This window comes from Homo sapiens, chromosome 1 (genome assembly GCF_000001405.40).
Source record: "Homo sapiens chromosome 1, GRCh38.p14 Primary Assembly".
NCBI lineage: Eukaryota > Metazoa > Chordata > Mammalia > Primates > Hominidae > Homo > Homo sapiens.
The window spans coordinates 201,648,397-201,668,081 of NC_000001.11; the positions used below are offsets into that span (position 1 = coordinate 201,648,397).

Genomic DNA, 19,685 nt, shown 5'->3' on the forward strand with positions numbered 1-19,685 from the left:
TTTTCCTCCGACCCCGCCCTATCGCTCCCCGGCTTCCCTGCTCTTTCCTTTTTCCCGGCTTCCTTCCTCGCGTTTCTTTCCCCTGCGCCCTCGGCTTGCCTCTCTCCCTCCTCCCTCGCTCTCTCCCCCTTCTCTCCCCTTCTTCCTCGGTTTCTTCCGTCCTCTCTCTCCCCCTCCTCCTCCCCCGCCTCCTCCTCCTGCGCTCCCGCCCCCTGCCCCCTCCCCCCGTGCCTGCAGACGCGCGGATCGTCCATGCGCTCCTCGCGGGCAGAATGCTGGGCAGCAGCGTCAAGAGCGTGCAGCCCGAGGTGGAGCTGAGCAGCGGCGGCGGCGACGAGGGCGCGGACGAACCGCGGGGCGCCGGCAGGAAGGCGGCAGCGGCGGACGGCAGAGGCATGCTGCCCAAGCGCGCCAAGGCGCCCGGCGGCGGCGGCGGCATGGCCAAGGCCAGCGCGGCTGAGCTGAAGGTCTTCAAGTCCGGCAGCGTGGACAGCCGTGTCCCCGGCGGGCCGCCCGCCTCCAACCTGCGCAAGCAGAAGTCACTCACCAACCTCTCTTTTCTCACGGACTCCGAGAAAAAGCTGCAGCTTTATGAGCCCGAATGGAGCGACGATATGGCCAAGGCGCCCAAAGGCTTAGGCAAGGTGGGGTCCAAGGGCCGTGAAGCTCCGCTGATGTCCAAGACGCTGTCCAAGTCGGAGCACTCGCTCTTCCAGGCCAAGGGCAGCCCGGCGGGCGGCGCCAAGACCCCCCTGGCTCCGCTCGCGCCCAACCTGGGAAAGCCGAGCCGGATCCCTCGAGGACCCTATGCGGAGGTCAAGCCGCTCAGCAAGGCGCCTGAAGCGGCCGTGAGCGAAGATGGCAAATCGGACGACGAGCTGCTCTCCAGCAAGGCCAAGGCGCAAAAGAGCTCTGGGCCTGTCCCCTCTGCCAAGGGCCAGGAGGAGCGCGCCTTCCTCAAGGTGGACCCCGAGCTGGTGGTGACCGTGCTGGGAGACCTGGAGCAGCTGCTCTTCAGCCAGATGCTGGGTAAGTCCTGCCGCCCCGCCCCGCCCCGCCCCTGGCTTTCTCCTAACCAGCTGCTGGGGAAGGTGTGGGGAAAGCGAAGCCCCCTCCCCTTGCGCCTTCCCGGAGGGCCCTCCTGTTCACGATCAGGCTGTGATGGGCATTGCGCCCAGATGTGCTGAGCTGGCCCACCTCCAGATGCGCATGGCTCAAGTGTACCTTCTTAAAGACATTACAGGCGGGAACCCGGGCTCGACTCTGGCCTGCCCGAGGTGAGGCTGGACAATGGGATGGGGGGTGAGGGGGTTACAGGCTCTCAGAAATAGAGCCAGAATCCCAATATGGCAAAACCTGGGACTGGTGGAAACCTCCGTTGTGGTGTGGCCTGCGCTTGACAGGAGCATCCCGCATTGCAAGGGGAGCGTCCAGCGAGAGCCCGGATCTAGAGGACAGATGTGGGAGAGCAGATGTGAGGGCTGATTGGCCCCGGAACACAGCTGAGGCTCCACTTCCTCTGTGGATCCCGAGTGGGAGCGCAAGTCGGATTTCCCCGCGGTGTGAGGATTCTGGCTAAAAGAAGCGTCTAGGGCCGGGGGCGGGCGGGCTGCCAGCTGTGCGCATCTGGGCGCATGTCCGATACCTCAGCCCCGGCTCTGGCCCCAACCCCTACACCCGCAGGTCTTTTAGGGCGTGTCGAAAGCTCTGGGCGTTAGCGCCGAGACTCCTGTTTGACCGGGAAGCCTTTGCCCTGTGGCTAATGGAAGCCGAGCAGGCGGGAAGGGAGGAACAAAGCTTGCTCGAGTGGAGGAAGCGCGCAGAGCTGTTCCATTGTTCTCCGTGCCTGAAGAGTCTATGCAAAAAAACCCGAAGCGGGCCCCGGAACTGCTCTTTCTCTCCCCGGAGAGCCCCTGCCCTCAGAGAGGAATAGATCTGGGATGTGCCGGACGCCAGGCGGCCATGCCTCGGGAACTGGCACGGGCCCTCTTGGGGCCACGGAACAAGGACGGTGGGGCCTGGTGCCCAGGCGAGCTGCTTTGGCTGCGCGGACTTGTTGCGGTGGCTGGGTTGTGGGTCCTCCGGCGCCGAGGGACCCGAGCTTCCTGGGTACCCGGCAGGCTGCCCGCCCGCTGGGGGCTGGGAAGGGGCGTGCCAATGCGCGTGTGAAAGGGCGGGGCCGAGTGACGGGCTTGGCGGGTGGGGAACATGCAAGAGCTCGCCGGGCGGCCCTGGAGAATGCGAAGCCGGAGGAGACCGGTTCGGCCTGCTGCAGTCTTCCTAGGAACCCTCGACTCCTGTGTGGGCTAGGATGAGGGTCCTCTGACAGGGGCAAGGATTTGGGCCTTTGGAGAACCGATCCTTACGCAGGAGGCCGCAAATGGGCTTTGCAGGGGCAATCAGGAGACTGGACAAGGGCAAAAGAAGAGCAGCCTTTTCCCCTGGGAGCCCCTCCTGAAGGTGGGGATGGCTGGGTGGGTGCGGAAGCTGACCAGGCAGCCTCACTCTGCAAAGGGAATGTGCCACCCGGTCCTCAGTGTGGGGCTGAGCCTGTCAAAGGCCCTGCCTCAGTGAATGGGGCAAGAGAGACAATAAGGGAAAAAATTAATAAATTTTTGGCAGGCACCATGGCAGGCACCAAGGAGGGATATGGACAAAATGCAACTGGCCCATGTGATAGAGAGCCCTGCTGAGGGACTGAAAGCAGGGTGAGAGAGGAAGGGACCGTGTGTGTGTGTGTGTGTGTGTGTGTGTGTGTGTGTGTCAGACTGAGAGAGGGACTTGGCGAGGGAGGGCAAGGGAGTATCGGGGCACAGAATAGCAGAAGGCACAGAACCCTTTTCAGGGTCAAGGCTTTACTTGTTGGGGATAACTTAGCTGGTCTGGGTCCTCTCCAGACCTGGATGCCCTCACACTGTCCCAGAAGCTGACTGCCCATTGAAGCCCTCTTAGTTGCTCCTCAAGAGGAGCCAAACAGGTCTGAGCTGGCTAGGGAGATGGGAGGAGGGGCAGGAGTGGGGAGGAGGGCAGGTGCAGGGAGGGCGAGAGAGGAGGAGAAGCTGAGCTGTGGTCCCTTATTCCTGCTTAGCAGTTGTCACTTCTCAAAGCACACTGACACTTTCAGTAACCTCGGAAGTGAGGAGAGAACACCTCCACTTCCCAGTTGGGGAAATGCAGAGTCAAAAGCATTGAGGGCCTTAAAGGCATCTATGAGTTCATGGTGGAAGGGAGATTCCACATTGATCTCCTGAGGACTAAGTCGCAGCTCTTCCTAGGAGACCTGATTGAGAGAGGAAGAGTCAGCAGGCAGAGGGACCTGCCCAAGGCTATGTCTACTGGGTATGGGCCACCAGAACTGCCTCGATGACCCTACAGAGGGCTGAGGGGCTTAGCTCTCTGGGGTGGGGAGAGAAGGGTGGAAACTCCCAAATCTGCCTGTCTCCAGCTGAGAGGACCCAAAGTTGGGGGGTGGGGAGTTGGTTCAGGCTGTAGCAAGGCAGAGCCTGGTGTCAAACAGTGGTAGGGAGGAAAGGAGGGGAGTTGGTGACCTCCAAACTAAGCTTTTCCCTGTGTGAAGGGCAGAGGGTAGACTGCCTGGGGGAGGGGTAGAGGGAGAGGAACTACAGAGGGAATTCGTCTTCCAGAGCCAATGATGGTGGTGTTCAGGTATCAGACAGGCCCTCAGTGTACAGCAGGGTGGCCTCTGGGGAGAAGAATGGTGACTTGATGTTTCAGGATTGTGATTGAAGACACTGGGCATTTGTCCCCACCTCAGTGGGGCTCAGTGTCCAGTTATGTTCACTCCATAGTACCATCCTAGATCCAAGAGGCTGCCAAGAATCAATTTCTGAGGCGGAGGGAGGGGGTGGGAGTGAGGCAGCTTCAAGTCAGAGCCTTTCTGTAATAAGAGGGAAGGACTGAAACCTGATCATCCCCTTCCCAGAAATCAGCTGGGGTCCCAGATGGTCTAGGCAGGCTCCCTGTCCCTTCGCTAACCTTGGAAGCTGCCAAATAACTAGGGCCCCACTGGGGAACCCTAGCAACTTGGAAGACTGAGGAGTGAGTACCGAGGGCAAATGGGCTAATTCCAGGAATTAGATGCCTCTGGACCCTGGCCCGATACTCACATCAGGCAGTTTGGCTCCGGAAGAAAGGCCACAAGGCCCTTGGCCTGGGTCTGGGGGCTAAGCTGGAGGCTGCATTCCTGAGTTCTCTGTGTAGAAGTCCTAAGCTCTGTGACCCCCTCTGGGACTCAGTTTCCTCATTTGTGAATGGAAGAGACCCTCCCATGGCTCATCCTTACCCCCTAGGGATGGGAAGGGGGTGTAGATTAAGGTGATCAGACCTGGAAAATGTTCCAAGTGGCTTAAAGAGAGCCTGTATTAATACAGCGCAATAGAATACAGATGCACCTCAATTTATGATGGGGTTATGTCCCGTTAAGACCATTGTAAGTTGAAAATATTGTAAGTCAAAAATGCATTGAATACACCTCACGTACCGAACGTCACAGCTCAGCCTAGCCTACCTTAAACGTGCTCAGAACACTTATATTCACCTACAGTTAAGCAAAATCATCTAATATAAAGCCTATTTCATAATAAAGTTGCATATTTCATGGAATTTATTGAATACTATACTAAAAGTGAAAAACAGAATGGTTGTATGGGTACTAGAAGTATAGTTTCTACCAAATGTATTACTTTCATGTGATCATAATGCCAAAAAAGCAGAAGCCGAACAATCACAAGTCGGGGACTGTCTGTACTATAGTAACACCCCAAATCTTCCTACCTCATCTTCCCTGGACCTGAGGATCTCAAAGCAAAACTAGTCTTTTGACACTCCAGGTGTTCATGTTCCTTCCTTCTGTCCTCCAGGAAAAGGGGGCAAAGTGAGACAGCTAAGACTGCCCAAGGTCAGGGAGTAAAAGAACCCAGGAACCTGGACTTCCTAGTCCCTCTTCATCTCAAAGGTGTCTGGACCCACACAAGCGGTTGTCATGACAACAGTTAGGCCTTCTGAAGTGCAGGCCAAGTAGAAATGAGGAAGAAAGGCAGGAAGCTATTCATTTCTAAGCCAGTTGATTGATGTGAATTTTTTGGGGGGGAGGGGCAGTGCAAGGGGGTCGCTCCAGTGAATGTGCTCTGGGATACTTTGAGTAGCAGGAGAAAGAAATGTGTTCACAAATACTTCGTTTTCCTTTTTATTCAGTGCATTGTGGGGCTGGGGTGGGTAGAGAATTCTCCAAAGAACTGCCACCCAGAACAGATAGGTGATATGTGGAAACTTATCCAGCACCCTCAGATTCCCTGAGGCCTAGCAGGAGAGTGAGGACAAAGCTCACTCCTGCCCTTCCTCTGGGCAGCAGCAGTAGTGATGGAGGATGCTTGTGGAATCACAGGCAGGAGGAAGGGCTGTGGCAAGGTGCAGCAGCCTGCAGGTTTGTGTGTATGTGTGTAGAGAAGGCACTGGCACAAAACCTTGGAGCTGTGAGGCCTCCTGCCTTCCTCCAGGTTGGTACCAATAATATTTCTTTTCTCACCGTGTCCAGAAAGTTTTCTTCCAAGGCTAGGCTTGGGCCCCCACCCAGGTCATGTTCCTCTCCTTTGGGCATTGCCTTGTTCTGACTGCTGCAGTCAAAAGCTGTTGGCTTTGACTCACAGCCCATGGCTCTGCCTCTGAGAGTACCGCATGGATGAATAAGTAGGTCCTAGGGGCAGTTCCTCTGCCCTGGGGAGAAGGTACAGATGGAGGAGAAGTACCCAGAGCTACTCTGGCTCCCTGAACCTTAAGCCAACCCAGGGAGATACCCTTTACCATCCATCACTGATGGCTCTAACCCCAGGCCACAGGCCCCTTCTAGACCTGCATTGAATGGGTAGCAGGACCAAGTCACCTGGAGTCCTGGGATGTTTCCTGACACTTTCTTCTTGTTTCACCCCTTCCCACTTTCTCTGCCCAATTTGATACTGTGGCTGCAAATGCCCACCCCCTACCTCCCACCCCCTACCACCCACCCCCATCACAAGCTGCCAACACCAGATCCTTCCCCTTCTGCTGACCTCCAATCTTGCCTTTCTCTGCAGCTATCCTTCCACACACATATACCGCACCTCACAGCCTCTGACCCTGAGGGTGAAGGTGCAAGCTGCTCCACGTGGTGCAAGGGAGAGCCAGTGCTGTATGGAGCAGGCTGAGCAGAGCCCTCAGGGTCCATAACTGCAGCTTAGCCACCTCTGCAGCACACTGCAATGTCTTCCTGGATAGCCAAGTCCCTTTCTCTCTGCAGAGCGCTCCATCTCCCTCACCCTTCCCTGAGATTTCATAGAATCCTAGAATGGAAATTGTCTAGTTGAGCCACTACCTCAAGCCAAAATTAATCCCACTATAGCATCATAGGCAGGTGGGTGTTCTGTTTACACTCTCCTAGTGACAGAGGGCTCACTACCTTATTTTCCAGGAAAGCACTCATTATTAGATAGATATTTCTTCTGTTGAGCTTTGATTCTGTCTTCTGAGAATTTCTACCCGTGGGTCTGAATTTGCTCTCTGGATGCTTACAGATGAAGCTAGCCTGCGTTTCCCAGGATCCCCTTTCTTATATTTGGGGTCAGACACCTATCTATGCTCCATTCGTCTTTTCTGCTTTTGCCTCTTCCTTCCATTTTTCTTCCATTTCTCTTCTTTTGGAACAAGACCTGATAGGAGATGTCTGACCTGTTCACCCTGACTCACGGGCCCAGTGGAGTCCAGCTCTCCACCTGGACCCCACTGTCTGCATCTCAGAGTGGCTCCCTACCGGGGACCCACAGCACCTGGCTGGTCTTTCTCCTGGCCCAACCAGGAAGCTCTCCTCCCCAAAGCCCAAAGCCCAAAGCCCAAAGCCTTCTCCCTCTGCCTGGAAAGCCTGAGCCAGCCAACAAGGGGAAATGGACGCCACATGTTTCTCATTTGCGCTGGCTGACCTCCCCCCACACCCTGTTTGGATTACCCAGATGTGTTTGATGTCCCAGAGCCTGCGGCCTTTTCTCTCATGCACAGGAAGGGCCGGGTGGGGAGGTAGGGGGGGCCAGGCCCAGCTCACTGGCCCTGCGTGGGCAGGTTCCCTCCTATAGGAGGCAGACATCACCTCCCACACCTTCCCCCACACTGCTGCTTCTGGGGACTGGGCCTCCTGAAGGAAGCAGGACACCAGCGCCTTCAGGGTTCAGCTCCCCCTTGTTCAATGAAGGCAGGTCTTTGCTTCCTTCTGACCCACAGAGATCGGGGGCAGACTGGGAAGATGCCCCAGGAACTGTTTTGATCTCCCATCTGGAGGCTGAGGGAGGAGCAGAGTTGCACTTAAGGTGTGTCTGGCATGGCTGTCCAGTGTGGGCACAGCAGCGTGTGCCTGGGATAAGCAGGGTGACCCGCTTTTCACCATGGTGCTTTGCACCTTCTATAAGCACCTTTTTTTTTTCTCAGACTTGATGCCTTTGGAATGTGGAGGGGTGTGTTGCATAGGTGGGAAGCTCCCATTAGGGGAGAATGAGGACCCATTGGGAGTTTCCAGATTGCTCCAGCCCATTCTGGTGCTGAGGTAGAGATGGGAGGGCATGGAGAGCAGCCCATCTCCAGGTTCACCCCCTAAGAGCTTTGGCTCCAGCAGGCCCCAGGCTCTCCCTGCCAGCGCTGTTGTATGTTGCGTGTTTGACACACACTTCTCCAACTCAGCTCCAGCCAAACCTCAGCAAGGCAGCCAGGGCTCGGCAGGGTCTGGGCCTTGGCCTGAGCCATCCTGGAATCTATTTTAGACATCTCAATGATACATTTCAGGGCCACTGGAGTGGGTGGTTTCTCCACAGCATCTTCTAATTTCTGGGCGACAGCTTTCACTCTGGGCTTCTCAGGGTGCTTTCTCCTGTGAGTTAGAGGTGTGGAAAGCAGGGACAAGTGCAGTCCCAAGCCCCAGTATGCTGTGTGTGTTCCCAGCGTTGGTTCTTATGGAATCTCAGAGTTGTGGTCAAGGTTATCCAGTTGAGGTGTTGCTGTTGGGTGTGGTCTGGTCTGAAAGGTTGAATGTTATAAGCTCCAGGTGTTTCCATGGAGAGCTGGGCTCATAAACTACGACCTTGGGCTGAGCAGGAAGATAGCGAATGTTGAGAAAGCAAGACTGAGGCAAGTATGACGAGAGCTATTGGGTTAATAGGTTGTATGGCACATGGCACAAACCCCTAGAACTCGGGTGAGGTTGGGTGTCAGGGTGTGAAGACTAAGTGTGCAGTGAATGGCATGTGTTCACATGGATCAGTGCATGTAAACAAACTCACCGGCTTGCAGCACATATGCACATACTGAAGGGACATTTGCGTGCATGTATATGTAACAGCTGGGCAGGTTTAAAAGAGTCTGAAATATGACCCTGGTGGAACAGCTTCCCCCAAACAGACCCCTAGGCAGAGCCCGCTGGGGTTTGGACTCCTTGGCTTCTTTCCCAGAAAAGCACTGTAAGTGCTGGTTACTCCTCAGACTCTGAGGACACAGGCCCCTTTGCCCTTGGTGACCCACTAACCAGGCCCCTCCCTTTTGGGGAAGCTGGCAGCCACCCAGCAGGCCCTGCCTTCTCTCTGTAGGATCCCTAAACTGTCATGGGGTCTAGGATTCCAACATCCCCAGACTGAGGCTGCTTCCTAGGAGCTCCTGGGACCTGATTATCCCAAGGGGGAAATGAAAAGCTCAAGAATCAAAAGAATCAGTAATCTAATGGTTATCAATAACATGTATCAATCACTTGGTAAGTGAAAGTCATTGTTCTTGTTCCTCAAGCCAAAATTAATCCCACTATAGCATCATAGGCAGGTGGGTGTTCTGTTTACACTCTCCTAGTGACAGAGGGCTCACTACCTTATTTTCCAGGAAAGCACTCATTATTAGAAAGATATTTCTTCTGTTGAGCTTTGATTCTGTCTTCTGAGAATTTCTACCCATGAGTCTGAATTTGCTCTCTGGATGCTTACAGATGAAGCTAGCCTGCATTTCCCAGGATCCCCTTTCTTATATTTGGGGTCAGACACCTATCTATGCTCCATTCGTCTTTCTGCTTTTGCTTCTTCCTTCCATTTTTCTTCCATTTCTCTTCTTTGGAACAAGACCTGATAGGAGATGTCTGACCTGTTCACCCTGACTCACGGGCCCAGTGGAGTCCAGCTCTCCACCTGGACCTCACTGTCTGCATCTCAGAGTGGCTCCCTGCCGGGGACCCACGGCACCTGGCGGGGCTTTCTCCTGGCCCATCACTTAATACTCACAATAATTCTATGATCCTGGCACTTACAAGTGAGGAAACTGAGGCACTGAAATACAGGTAATCTGGCCAGGGAAAGTGGTTCACACCTGTAATCCCAGCACTTTGGGAGGCCGAGGCAGGTGGATCACTTGAGCTCAGGAGTTTGAGACCAGCTTGGGCATCATTGCAAAACCCTGTCTCTACTAAAAATACAAAAAATTAGCCAGGAGTGGTGGCTCACACCTGTAGTCCCAGCTACTTGGGAGGCTGAGGTGGAAGGATCACTTGAGCCCGGGAGGTGGAGGTTGCAGTGATCTGAGATCACGCCACTGCACTCCAGCCTGGGTAATAGATCAAGACCCTGTGTGAATACAGGTAATCTGCCCAAAGCCAGTAAAGCAAGCGAGCAACAGAGCTAGGATTTAAACTTAACCCCTATGGTAACCTGCCTCCAGGAGCCTCAAGACTCCCTCAAACATTGAGTCTGATTCCATTTAATTCAGGAGCAACTTGTCAAGAAGTTAGTGTCGGCAGAGCACTGTGCTTCCTGAGACTGAAGTTCTGGGCCCTGCTTACTAGGTTCTGAAAGGCTGGATGAGGAGATAGAAGTGTCCAGGCTCATTCCAGTACAAGCAGAATGCAGCATGCTGCGAAGAAGCCAGAAAGGGCAACTGAGGGCTCGGCCAGCTGGAATTGGCATCAGTGCATAGGGTGTGTGGGGGCACATGTGAGATGGTGGGGAGGGGACATGCTACAGAAGTGATGTGAGTTTTGATAGAAGGGTGAGATTCTGGCAGTAGAGGTAAAAAAAACTAGAAAAGGAAGGGAGGAGGAACTGTGGGCTTAATGGCAGGTAGTGATGAGTCCTGTCTGGCTTAGAGAGATGGAAAAGGTGGTGAAAGAGGAGATGAGATCAGAAAAACAGGTTGGGGTGGGATCATGGCTGATCCGACATGGAGTGCACTGGGACTCAACTGTAGGCTCTGAGCAGATATTTGAGTGGAAGAGACCAATCAAAGTTCGTCCCCAAAGGATCCCCAAAAGAGTCCTGTGCCCGCTGGTCCTTGGAGATGTTGCTGATCGATGAGATCAGCCAGCCAGGGCCTCTCAAGTTTCACATCTGTCTGCTCCAGGGAAGATTATTCTTGCAGCCTATGCAGTGCCCACATGGGATGGATGGAGGGAGAGGACTCCTTCAGCCTCCATGCCCAGAGGTTGGCCCTCTGAGAGGGTAGGGGCACCCCTTATCCTAACTCTTAGCCTAAACTCAAGTCTTCATCTTCCTCTGTTCCTTTGGTATGCCACCAGGCTGTTCCAGTTGCCATGCCCTGGGAATTGATTAGGCCCTACTGTGTGAGGTGCAGTGCTCTGCCCTGACCAAGAGTTGTTCCTCCACTGCCCCAGCCCTGGGAAGTGCTCTGCTGAAAACAGTCCCACAACCCACAGCAAAGCTTGAACCAGACTACCTATAGCAGAACCAAGACATTAAACCAATTTGGGACTAGACAGGGGAGCTTTTCAACTGCACGCTATTCAGTGGCAGGCATAAGTGGTGTGGTGCCACGTACTAGCTCTAGCTTTATTGTTTGATCCAAGAAGCCTTCCTGAAGGAGCCGGAAGTTGGGGAGGAATTTAAAGGAGTTTTAAAGGAATATTTATAGGAATCAGAGGCTGAGCACAGTGGCTCACACCTGTAATCCCAGCACTTTGGGAGGCCGAGGTCGTAGAATCGCTTGAGCCCAGGAATTCAAGACCAGTGTGGGCAACAAAGCAAGACTACATCCGTACAAAAGAGGTTTTTAAAAATTATCTGGGCATGGTGGCTTGTGCCTATAGCCCTAGCTGCTCAGGAGGCTTAGGTGGGAGGATCACTTGAGCCTAGGAAGTTGAAACTGCAGTGAGCTATGATTGGGCCACTGCACTCCAGCCTGGGTGACAGAGCAAGACCCTGTCCCTAAAAATAAATGAATAATAAATAAAATAAATAAAGGAATCCAAGACACTTGGCACAATGGGAGAAGACATTCCAGTTATCCAGCTTTGTTTGTTTGAAGGTAGGAGAACTAGATGGGGACTAGCTGGCTTGGAGCCCTCCGAGCAGATGGTCCTTCAGGGAGTGAAGACAGCCGGCTGCGCTGGGGTAGGAGAGCCTGTGGGGAGTGAGGGTTTCCCTTCTCCTAAACTCAAACCTTCATCTCTCTCTGTTCCTTTAAGATGCCACTGGCTGTTCCAGTTGCCATGCCCTGGGCATTGCCATGGGATTCCATTGCTGTAGGAGTGAGAATGTTTTGCCATAGAGGATCTGGTTTTGCCGTGGAGTCCAGGTGTCCCTAGGAGCTATTGTCCTAGAGTTCACAGGTTGCCATGGGTGTAGGTACTGTCCTGCTGTCTTCATGCTCCCACAGGGCCTTGATGGTGACGTGATGTCCAGGGGTGGAGCATTTACAGCATGGCCTCCCTGTCATCCTGCCCATGACTGCAGCACCCGGGAAAGAGAGTCACAACAGCAGGGAAGGCAGCAGAGCCTATTTGGGGTGGGGGAGCAGGCAGGCCAGTGCTGCTGCTGCTCCCACTGCCACAGTGGATGGCAGCAGACATGAGAGTGGCCTTCCTCAGCTGTAGTGGCGGGGCTGAGACCCTGCACTGCCTGACACTCTGCCTGCCCAGTGGGGTTTGCTTGCTGCTTGACAGGCAGCATCGAGAGGCTGTTGCTGCTCCTGCTGCCACCATCAAGGGACCCACTGGGCTCCTAGGAGCACCAGCGTCAGGCCTCCCTACTTGGCACCCCAGGACTCTCTGAGGTTTCCCAGCCCAGCCTGTAGCTTTGGGACCACTGAGGGCCTGCTGCAGGGTCTGGGCTCCTTGGAAGGGAACACTTAGCCCCTGAGACTCTAATCGAGGCCATGCACTCCACAGATAGTTCAGGCATCTTCATCCTGAGGACCCGTGGGGGACCATTTAACACTCACAGACATGTCTGAGTCACTGGAAATCAGCAACAATAAGGACTAACATTTATTGAGCACTCACTGTTTGCCAGCTGTGCTAGCGCTTTGTTTGCGTAAACCCATTTTATCCTCACACTGAGATATTAATCAAGGATCATATGCAAAATATTTGACAACCCTCACAGGTTTCAGAGCTGGAGGAGTCCTGGGGGCCCCCTGTTAACTGTGGTTGCTGGATTGTGGAGGTCCCAGAGGAAGGGCCCAGGTGGCCAGGGTGGCAGGGGGAGCACATGAGGGCTCAAAAAAGCACCTATTTGACTACTGTAAGGAAGTGTTTCATATTTTTTAGCAACCAATATGGCCTTATTGGTGCATGCTTGTTGACTTGTTGACACTGTTATATAAGATTTAGGTATAAGGAAGCTTAAGGAAGCCTAAAGGAGGCTAAGCAACTTACCCCAAAGGAATGTGGCAAGTTCACGGTCAAGCTAAGCTTAAACAAGGCTTGATTCAGGCTCATGATTCAGCCGCTAGACTCTACTGCCTCTTGCACAAGTAGCAACTCACTGCTCTCCCTGCCCTCTTGATGTTCTAGAACCCTTGCACTACATCAGTCTAGCAATGGTCCTTAGAGCCCAGGCCTATAGGAATCGGTTCTCTCTTGCCCTCCTTAGCATTCCTCGAGAGTCAGTATCTGCCAAGTACCCTTCCTCCCAAGCCTCTCACTGTCTAGTGTAGGAAGCAGACCCACAGAGGGGTGGTTAGGATACAGTATCGTGGCTAGTGCTGGACAGAGCAAAGCCCTGGAGCTTCAAGAAGAGCCTCCCCAGATGTACAGGAAGAAATAGGGCCAAAATGGCTGGGATGAGGATAACTAGAATGGTCTGGAAGAGTGGGGGCCTGAAATAAGCTGTTTGTCTGCCTCTTTTTGACTGGGAATGCTGGCTCTGTCACTCACTAACTGTTGATCTTGAATAAGCCACTTAACTGCCTGGTAAAATAGGGATTAGACTCCCCAGCTCCCAGATCTGGGAGACTGGATGAGATGCTGCATGGGAAAGGACTGGTGCAGAGGCTGGCACATGGCTGGTTCTGCAGATGTCAGCCCCATCAGCATTTCAGGGAACGACTTCCCTTTTACTCTCCCCTCCGCTCACCCTCAGCCTGTAGCCCCTGATTTCTAGACTAGATTTCCCAGAGTGCTGCATCTAGCGGAGAAGTTAGCTTCTTCATGGAAGATTTAAGGACTCGTCATAATATCTATCATTTATTATATGTTATGCACCAGGCACTGTTCTAAGCACTTTACACGTATTCAGTCATTTAATCGTCACAACAACCTAGTGGGTTAGGTACTACTCTTATCCCCTTTTTAGCAATGAAGAAACTGAGAGGTTAAGTAATTTCCCCAAGGTCACACAGCCACGAAGTGGAGTCTGGGTATGACCCCCAGGCAGTCTGGCTCCAGTGACCTGCCTCCTTAGCCACTATGCCATGAGGCCTCTCTCCAGTGGAGAGCACTGGCATTCTTGCATCCCACAGGCATCGTAAGCCCTGTTGGGCAGCAGCCCAGATCTTTTATTCTAAACAGGGTGGACCCACTCTGACGTTTCCTATAAGAGTTTAGTGGCACAGGGAACTGAGCCTAGAACATCCCTGGACCCACTTGGGTACCTGCCGCAGGCTGAGGACAGTTTGTAGGATCTATGGCTGATGCACTTTTACCACTATCTGTGTTTAATTCTGCATTCTGCACACCTATCCTTTAGGTCCCAAAGGGCCAGTATGTCTGCTACAGGGGATAGGTGTGCACCAAGACTCTGGTGTCTGGCCTTGGCCTGGAGCCCTAGTGTCTCTGAGTCCCTGACTGCCTGGGGCGATAGAAGGAGCACCAGCTTTGGAGTCATGCGTGTGAGGGTTCAGATCAATTCCAGTGCTTACCAGCTGGCTGTCCGTAGCCCTCTTTGCACTTACTCCTCATCTGTAGAATGGGGCTTGTACCCACAGCAGGGGGGGTAATTATATGGATTATCTAGAAGAGTGAGCATAGAGCACCTGGCACACCATAGATGACCAGTAAAGCTAGTTCTATTTCCACTTCTCCTGCAGGCCTGCAGACACCCTGTCCTTCCTCACCCTAACCACCATGGCTCTGGAGAACCTAGAGGCGACTAGTGCTCACAATGGGCTTCATTCACAGAATGGCTCCAGCCACTGACTTTGTTTCAATTCAGCCCTGATACTTTAGCTTAGACTCTTGGTTGTGCATTTACAAGCCCCCTGGAGCCAGCTTAAACAAAAGGGAGAGTTTATTAAAGGAACCAGCCATGTTTCCAGGGGAAAGGGACGAAGTTTTCTATGCCTCTTCACATGCTCTGCATTCTTGCTCCCTCTGTTTTTCTACACATCTGATTCTTCTCCTCTTGTACCACAGACTGGCTGCTTCTGCCCCCGGTCCATGTGGCGGAATAGGGATGCCCATGGTTTCATGCCTCCTCTGTCCAAGACATCAGCCAATTCCCCCTGGGGCGAAGGGGAACGGTCTCTGATTGACCCACCCATCACAATGAGAGAAGAAAACATTCTCCAGAAGTTGCCTTTGGCAAAGGTTTTAAGGTTATATGTCAGCCCAGTGGTTGTTTAGACTGTGATGAAAAGAAAATAGAAGAAATAATATGGAAAAAGTCAACAGACCGTGAGATGTGGAGAAGATTATCAAAGGGTAGCACCTTATGTTCGAGCCCATGACCCATTTCCAATCCTTAGCCTGGGCCTGGCTCCTGTTGAGATCAAGGTGAAAACTGGCCATGTCCTCATTTCTGGGCAGGGATGAAGATTCAGGCCTGACCTATAGCTTTACCTTGGATTTGTCATTTCCCTCTCTGTCCCGGGTTCAATGAAACCACCTGCTCTGTTCACAATCTCTCCATTGGCCAACAAGCCCTCTGGTGGTCCTCCATGCTTCCTCCCAGGGCTGAGGCATAAAATCTGCCTCAGTGGCCTGTTATCACACAGCTGGGAGGACATCTGGGGAGGAACGAGGCCAAGACATCCTGGTTCCTTCTCTTCTCTCATGGGGGAACAGGTGGATGGGCTTGGTGCTGATCCATTATTTCCCACAAGCATGGGGCTGGAGCTAGGGTATTGGGTTGTGGGGAGGGTCCCCTGTTTTTGCCTTACAGGGTGGGATGTTCCATGGGGGAGATGGGAAAAAATTTGCCAAAGAGGATCTAGCCCTGCTTCTGAGCCAGAGGAGCCCAGCCTGGACCTGGGCCTGGGGCAGGGGGTGGATTCCTGCCATTTTCCCACACTCTGCATAGAGATTGGATTTCCTGTTGAAATTGTATCTTTGGATTACAATCGTAAAGTTCCCAGCTTCTCAACTCAAGCTGTTTGCAGCAGCTCTGTGTAGCCTAAGTCATCGTCATTACTCTATTGGGTTCTGGGAGGGAAGATCCGGAGTATAGTGGCCAAATGCACAAGCTATGGGGTCAGAGAGACCCGAATTCAAATCCTGATTCTGTTTGAGACCAGCCTGGCCAAGATGGTGAGACCTCGTCTCTACTAAAAATACAAAAATTTGCTGGGCGTGGTGGTGCGCGTCTTATAATCCCAGCTACTCGGGAGGCTGAGGCAGGAGAATTGCTTGAACCCAGGAGGTGAAGGTTGCAGTGAGCTGAGATCGCGTCACTGCACTCCAGCCCAGGGACAGAGCGAGACCATGTCTCAAAACAAATAAACAAACAAATCAAATCCTGGCTCTATATTAACTAGCCATGAGATTCCGAGTCAATTAACCTCCCTGAGCTTCAGGTTCCTCATCTATTAAATGGGTCAAATAATATCTGTCTCATAGGATTGCTATGAAGATTAAATGAGATAATGCATGTAACACACTGAGCACAGTGCCTAGCAAATGAAAAGCGCCCCAAAATTGATTGTTTTATATTACTATCTCATTGTTATCTACCCACTCCACTATGTGGGTTTATAGAGGAAGGAGTCATGGCCTCTGCCCTTGGCAGCTCCCTGTCCTGATGGAGGAGACACAGTGCTGCACTCGACAACCCACTGGTTGGTTGGAGGAAACATGGGTCTTGCCTCAGGGAGCTCCCATTTTAGTGGAGGAGATGAGCCCCAGCCTGTTCTTCCTGAGTCCTCTATTTTCCTGGATCCTTGCTCATGAGCCGTGGTATGCCCTCAGCCTGCCCCTCTGCCACCAGTCCACCCATCTCCTCCCTTTTCCCCTGCAGCCAGGCCTGCCATCTCTAGAAAGCCCCCATCTCTCCTTTCTGTGTCCTTGGGCCCAGGTGTCCTTGGGTTACTGGGTGACTTGCTTTTCAGGTCCTGCCTGTGTGTGCCAAGCTTGTTCTCAAGAAGCATCTCCCCAGGATGCTAGTTCCTCTCTAAACACCGCCCAGATTGCAGACACAAAAATTAGACCTGTCGGTTTGCACGCTGTCTGCCTTAAATTTGCATTTGATTAAGAAGCACCAGCGTCCTCCCACCCATGGTTCTTCCTTCCCAACCTTCTTCTCTTTGAAGTGCTCCCCCCGCACCCTGCCCCACCATTCTCCCAGCTCTCTCCCTTTGCTGTGCTCAGGAAATCCTCCAGTTGGGCTCCTCTCCGTTGCCTCGGCCACTCCCGCAGATCTGCTTGGCATTCTCTGCTTCTGGCCTCTTTTCCGAGGCCAGCTCTGCAGAGTTTGCCTGGGTACAATGTGTTCTCATTGTGCCTCCAACAGTGTCAGTTCCTGGAGCTCACTGTCAGGAATCCAGCAGCTGGCTTAGAAATCAGCTGCCTTTGCTGAGGGCTCATGGAGATGGGGTGAGGCCTATCCTCCATTTCTGTCCGCACTAGCCACAAGCACTAGCTCATGTAGGAAACCACTAGATGCAGAATAATCTTTGAAAAGCCCTCTCCTCTACTCTTCCCATCTCAGTCTCTCTCTGGAGGGGTGAGGGCAAGAGCACCCCACCCCCCCCACTGCCCACCACCTCCTGAGGTCAGCTGGATCACCTTCACTCCTCCCTTGGCTGAAAGACAAAGAGAGGGTAAGACCAGGGTGCTTCTTAGAACACCTGGCTCCTTTACTGCAGACACACCTTTGGAGAATCATCATTAAGATGACTGAATTGCCTCTGCCTCCCTGCCCACTCCCAGCCCGACAGTAAACCTGCTGCTGCTTGGAGTTTTTCTACCATCTACGTTGCATCCTCCCTCATCTCTCAATTATCTGTGCTAGTGTTAAAAAAAAAAGCCATTCCATCTGCCTCAAACTGCTCTTCTTAAGATTTTGGGATAGCAGTTTTCCTCTTCTGGTTTCCAGTCACTTTTGACTATGACTGGTACCCATTTTGATTCCTTGAACTCACGTGTAAAGGAAGTGAAGGAGCAGGGAGCTCCGAGGGAGTGGGCAGCTGAAGGCCACTCACCCATCGGTAAGTCCCTCTGAGGTCAGAGGGAGCGGGTTGCCAGAGGGAATGAGCCCCAGAATCCCACCATTCTCATAAACAGCCCACCGCTCTAATCGCTCCTTCCCCAGCAACACTGGGCCTCCGATCTGCCCATGGAGAAGGCTGGGAAGCCAGCACCTCCTTCTCCATCTCTACCTCCCTCTTGCTTCTTGGCTCCCATATGTTCAGGGAATGCAAACTGACACTAGTATCAGCCTGAGCCAGGCATAATTGGAAAGGGAATCTTTCCCCACCCCCAACCTTGTCTTGCCTCCCTCCTTACAAAAAAAAAAATAAATCATATATTATCTCAAGCAGCTCTGTTATGTAGGAAACATAAGTCTGGAAGAAAAGACAGATGGGGTGGGGGATGGTTTATGAGGGCGGTCGAGCAACTGTCCTTTATATCCACTGAGGAGAGATCAGGAGAAAATGATAGTAACAAGAAGAGCAAGAAGGACTGAGGTTAGACTTTAAGAACTTGCCTTTATGATAAATAAGAGCCAGGAGTGATGGGCGGAGGAAGCCAGGGCCATCTCCCTCCATGCCTATCTCCCCAGCAGCCCACATCCTTGGCTTACTGCCTGCCTGGAAGATGTTGCCTACCTGTACCCTGGGGGAGAAAGAGCAAGTGGGACAGGGCTGCTGAATATTCTGCCTTTCTCCTGGGTGGGAGCGGCCTTCCCTCACTCTCAGCTCCCTCCTGGCCTGCAATTTCAAGGGCCTGCAGATTCAAGGACTTGGGGTTTCTGGGAGGCAGGGAAGTATGGGGCTCTGTGTGGGCTCCTTGGCAGAACCAGCAGGCAGCCACCCTCCACCATGTTCCGTGGTAGGATTTCTCTCAACGGAATTAAAAAAACAAGAGCCAAGAATAGAGGCAAGGACGCCATGCTCCCTCTCCATGAAGCCAGGCCCCCAGAGAGGTTCAAGACACCTCTGGGTCAGAATTCACCTGAGAGTGTGGGCGCAGCTGAGGCTGAGGATGTCCCCTCACCTCTGATTTTAATGGCAAGCCACAACATCACAGCATCAAAGCTAGATGAGTTCTGAGAGATTAAGTGCAAACTCTTTCATTTTGCAGATGAGGAAACTGAGGCCCAGAGAAGAACAGAAACTTGCTAAGGATCACCTGGGGCTCCCCTGACTCCTGGTGCAGTGATTTCCCCACTAAAGTTTAATTAAGCCATCCCCTTCCTTAGGCTGTAAAGTTAGGATGCCCTGACTGGGCACACACAGCTGGTTCTTGAAACAAAGGAGTGGGCTAAGTGCTGTTCCCACCCTGGCAGATGTTCTCTGGAGCTGATGGTCTCCTACAGACAGGGAAGGAGTGGGTGGGACCATGTCAGAGCCAGGTGGGATCATCATCCCATCCCATCTGACAGATGAGGAAACCGACATGCCCAAAAGCAAAATTTGCCCAAGTCCACCCAGCCGGTGAGTGGCAGATCAGAGACCCCAATCCAGGTCTCCTGCCATCTATTCCTATCCTGTGATTCTTCTTGGTTCTTATTTTAGACAGTGGACCCGGGGAGGAGGAGGATGCGCTGCCTATCACAGTAGCACCTCAGCAAACAGCTGCTGTTGGCCTGACCCATGAATTTTTAAAACTGTCTGAGGTTTTAGGGTCAAGTAACAAACTCACCTCTCCCTCCCTGTGGCTTTTAAGCCTCATAAATATGCTTTTAAAAGTCACTCCGCAGTTCCTCCCACATACAGAGACTCACATCATCGCTCAGTGAAACCTGAGGGGTGGTCAGAGCTGCTTTCTATGGCTGAGGGTGGTGGTTGAGGGATCCTCTTCTGGAAGATGCCCCAAGTGTAGGGACATGCCCAGACCTTGATGTTCCAGGGTGGAGGCCCTCACCACGCATCTGATGGGCCAGTCTCACTGGCCAGAGTCCCATCACAGGCCATGGCCATAGGCCCCAGGAAATTCTGGGTCATTGGTGTCAGCTTGAGGCACTTGAAACCATAGCGCCCATGTCTTCCTCCTGCTGAGGGATCCTGGGGCC

General features: G+C 53.0%; 1 protein-coding gene across 4 annotated transcripts in view; it reads left to right on the forward strand.

Annotated features, from left to right (window-relative positions):
• NAV1 (neuron navigator 1) overlaps positions 1–19,685 on the forward strand; it is a 287,843-nt gene that overhangs the window by 109,270 nt on the left and 158,888 nt on the right. For 3 of the 4 annotated variants that reach the window (NM_001389617.1, NM_001389615.1, NM_001389616.1), the window contains one exon: positions 238–1,029. In NM_001389617.1, coding sequence (NP_001376546.1) covers positions 238–1,029 — 792 coding nt within the window. Of the gene's footprint in view, positions 1–237; positions 1,030–19,685 lie in introns of those variants that run through there. The other variant, NM_020443.5, reaches the window with a different exon arrangement.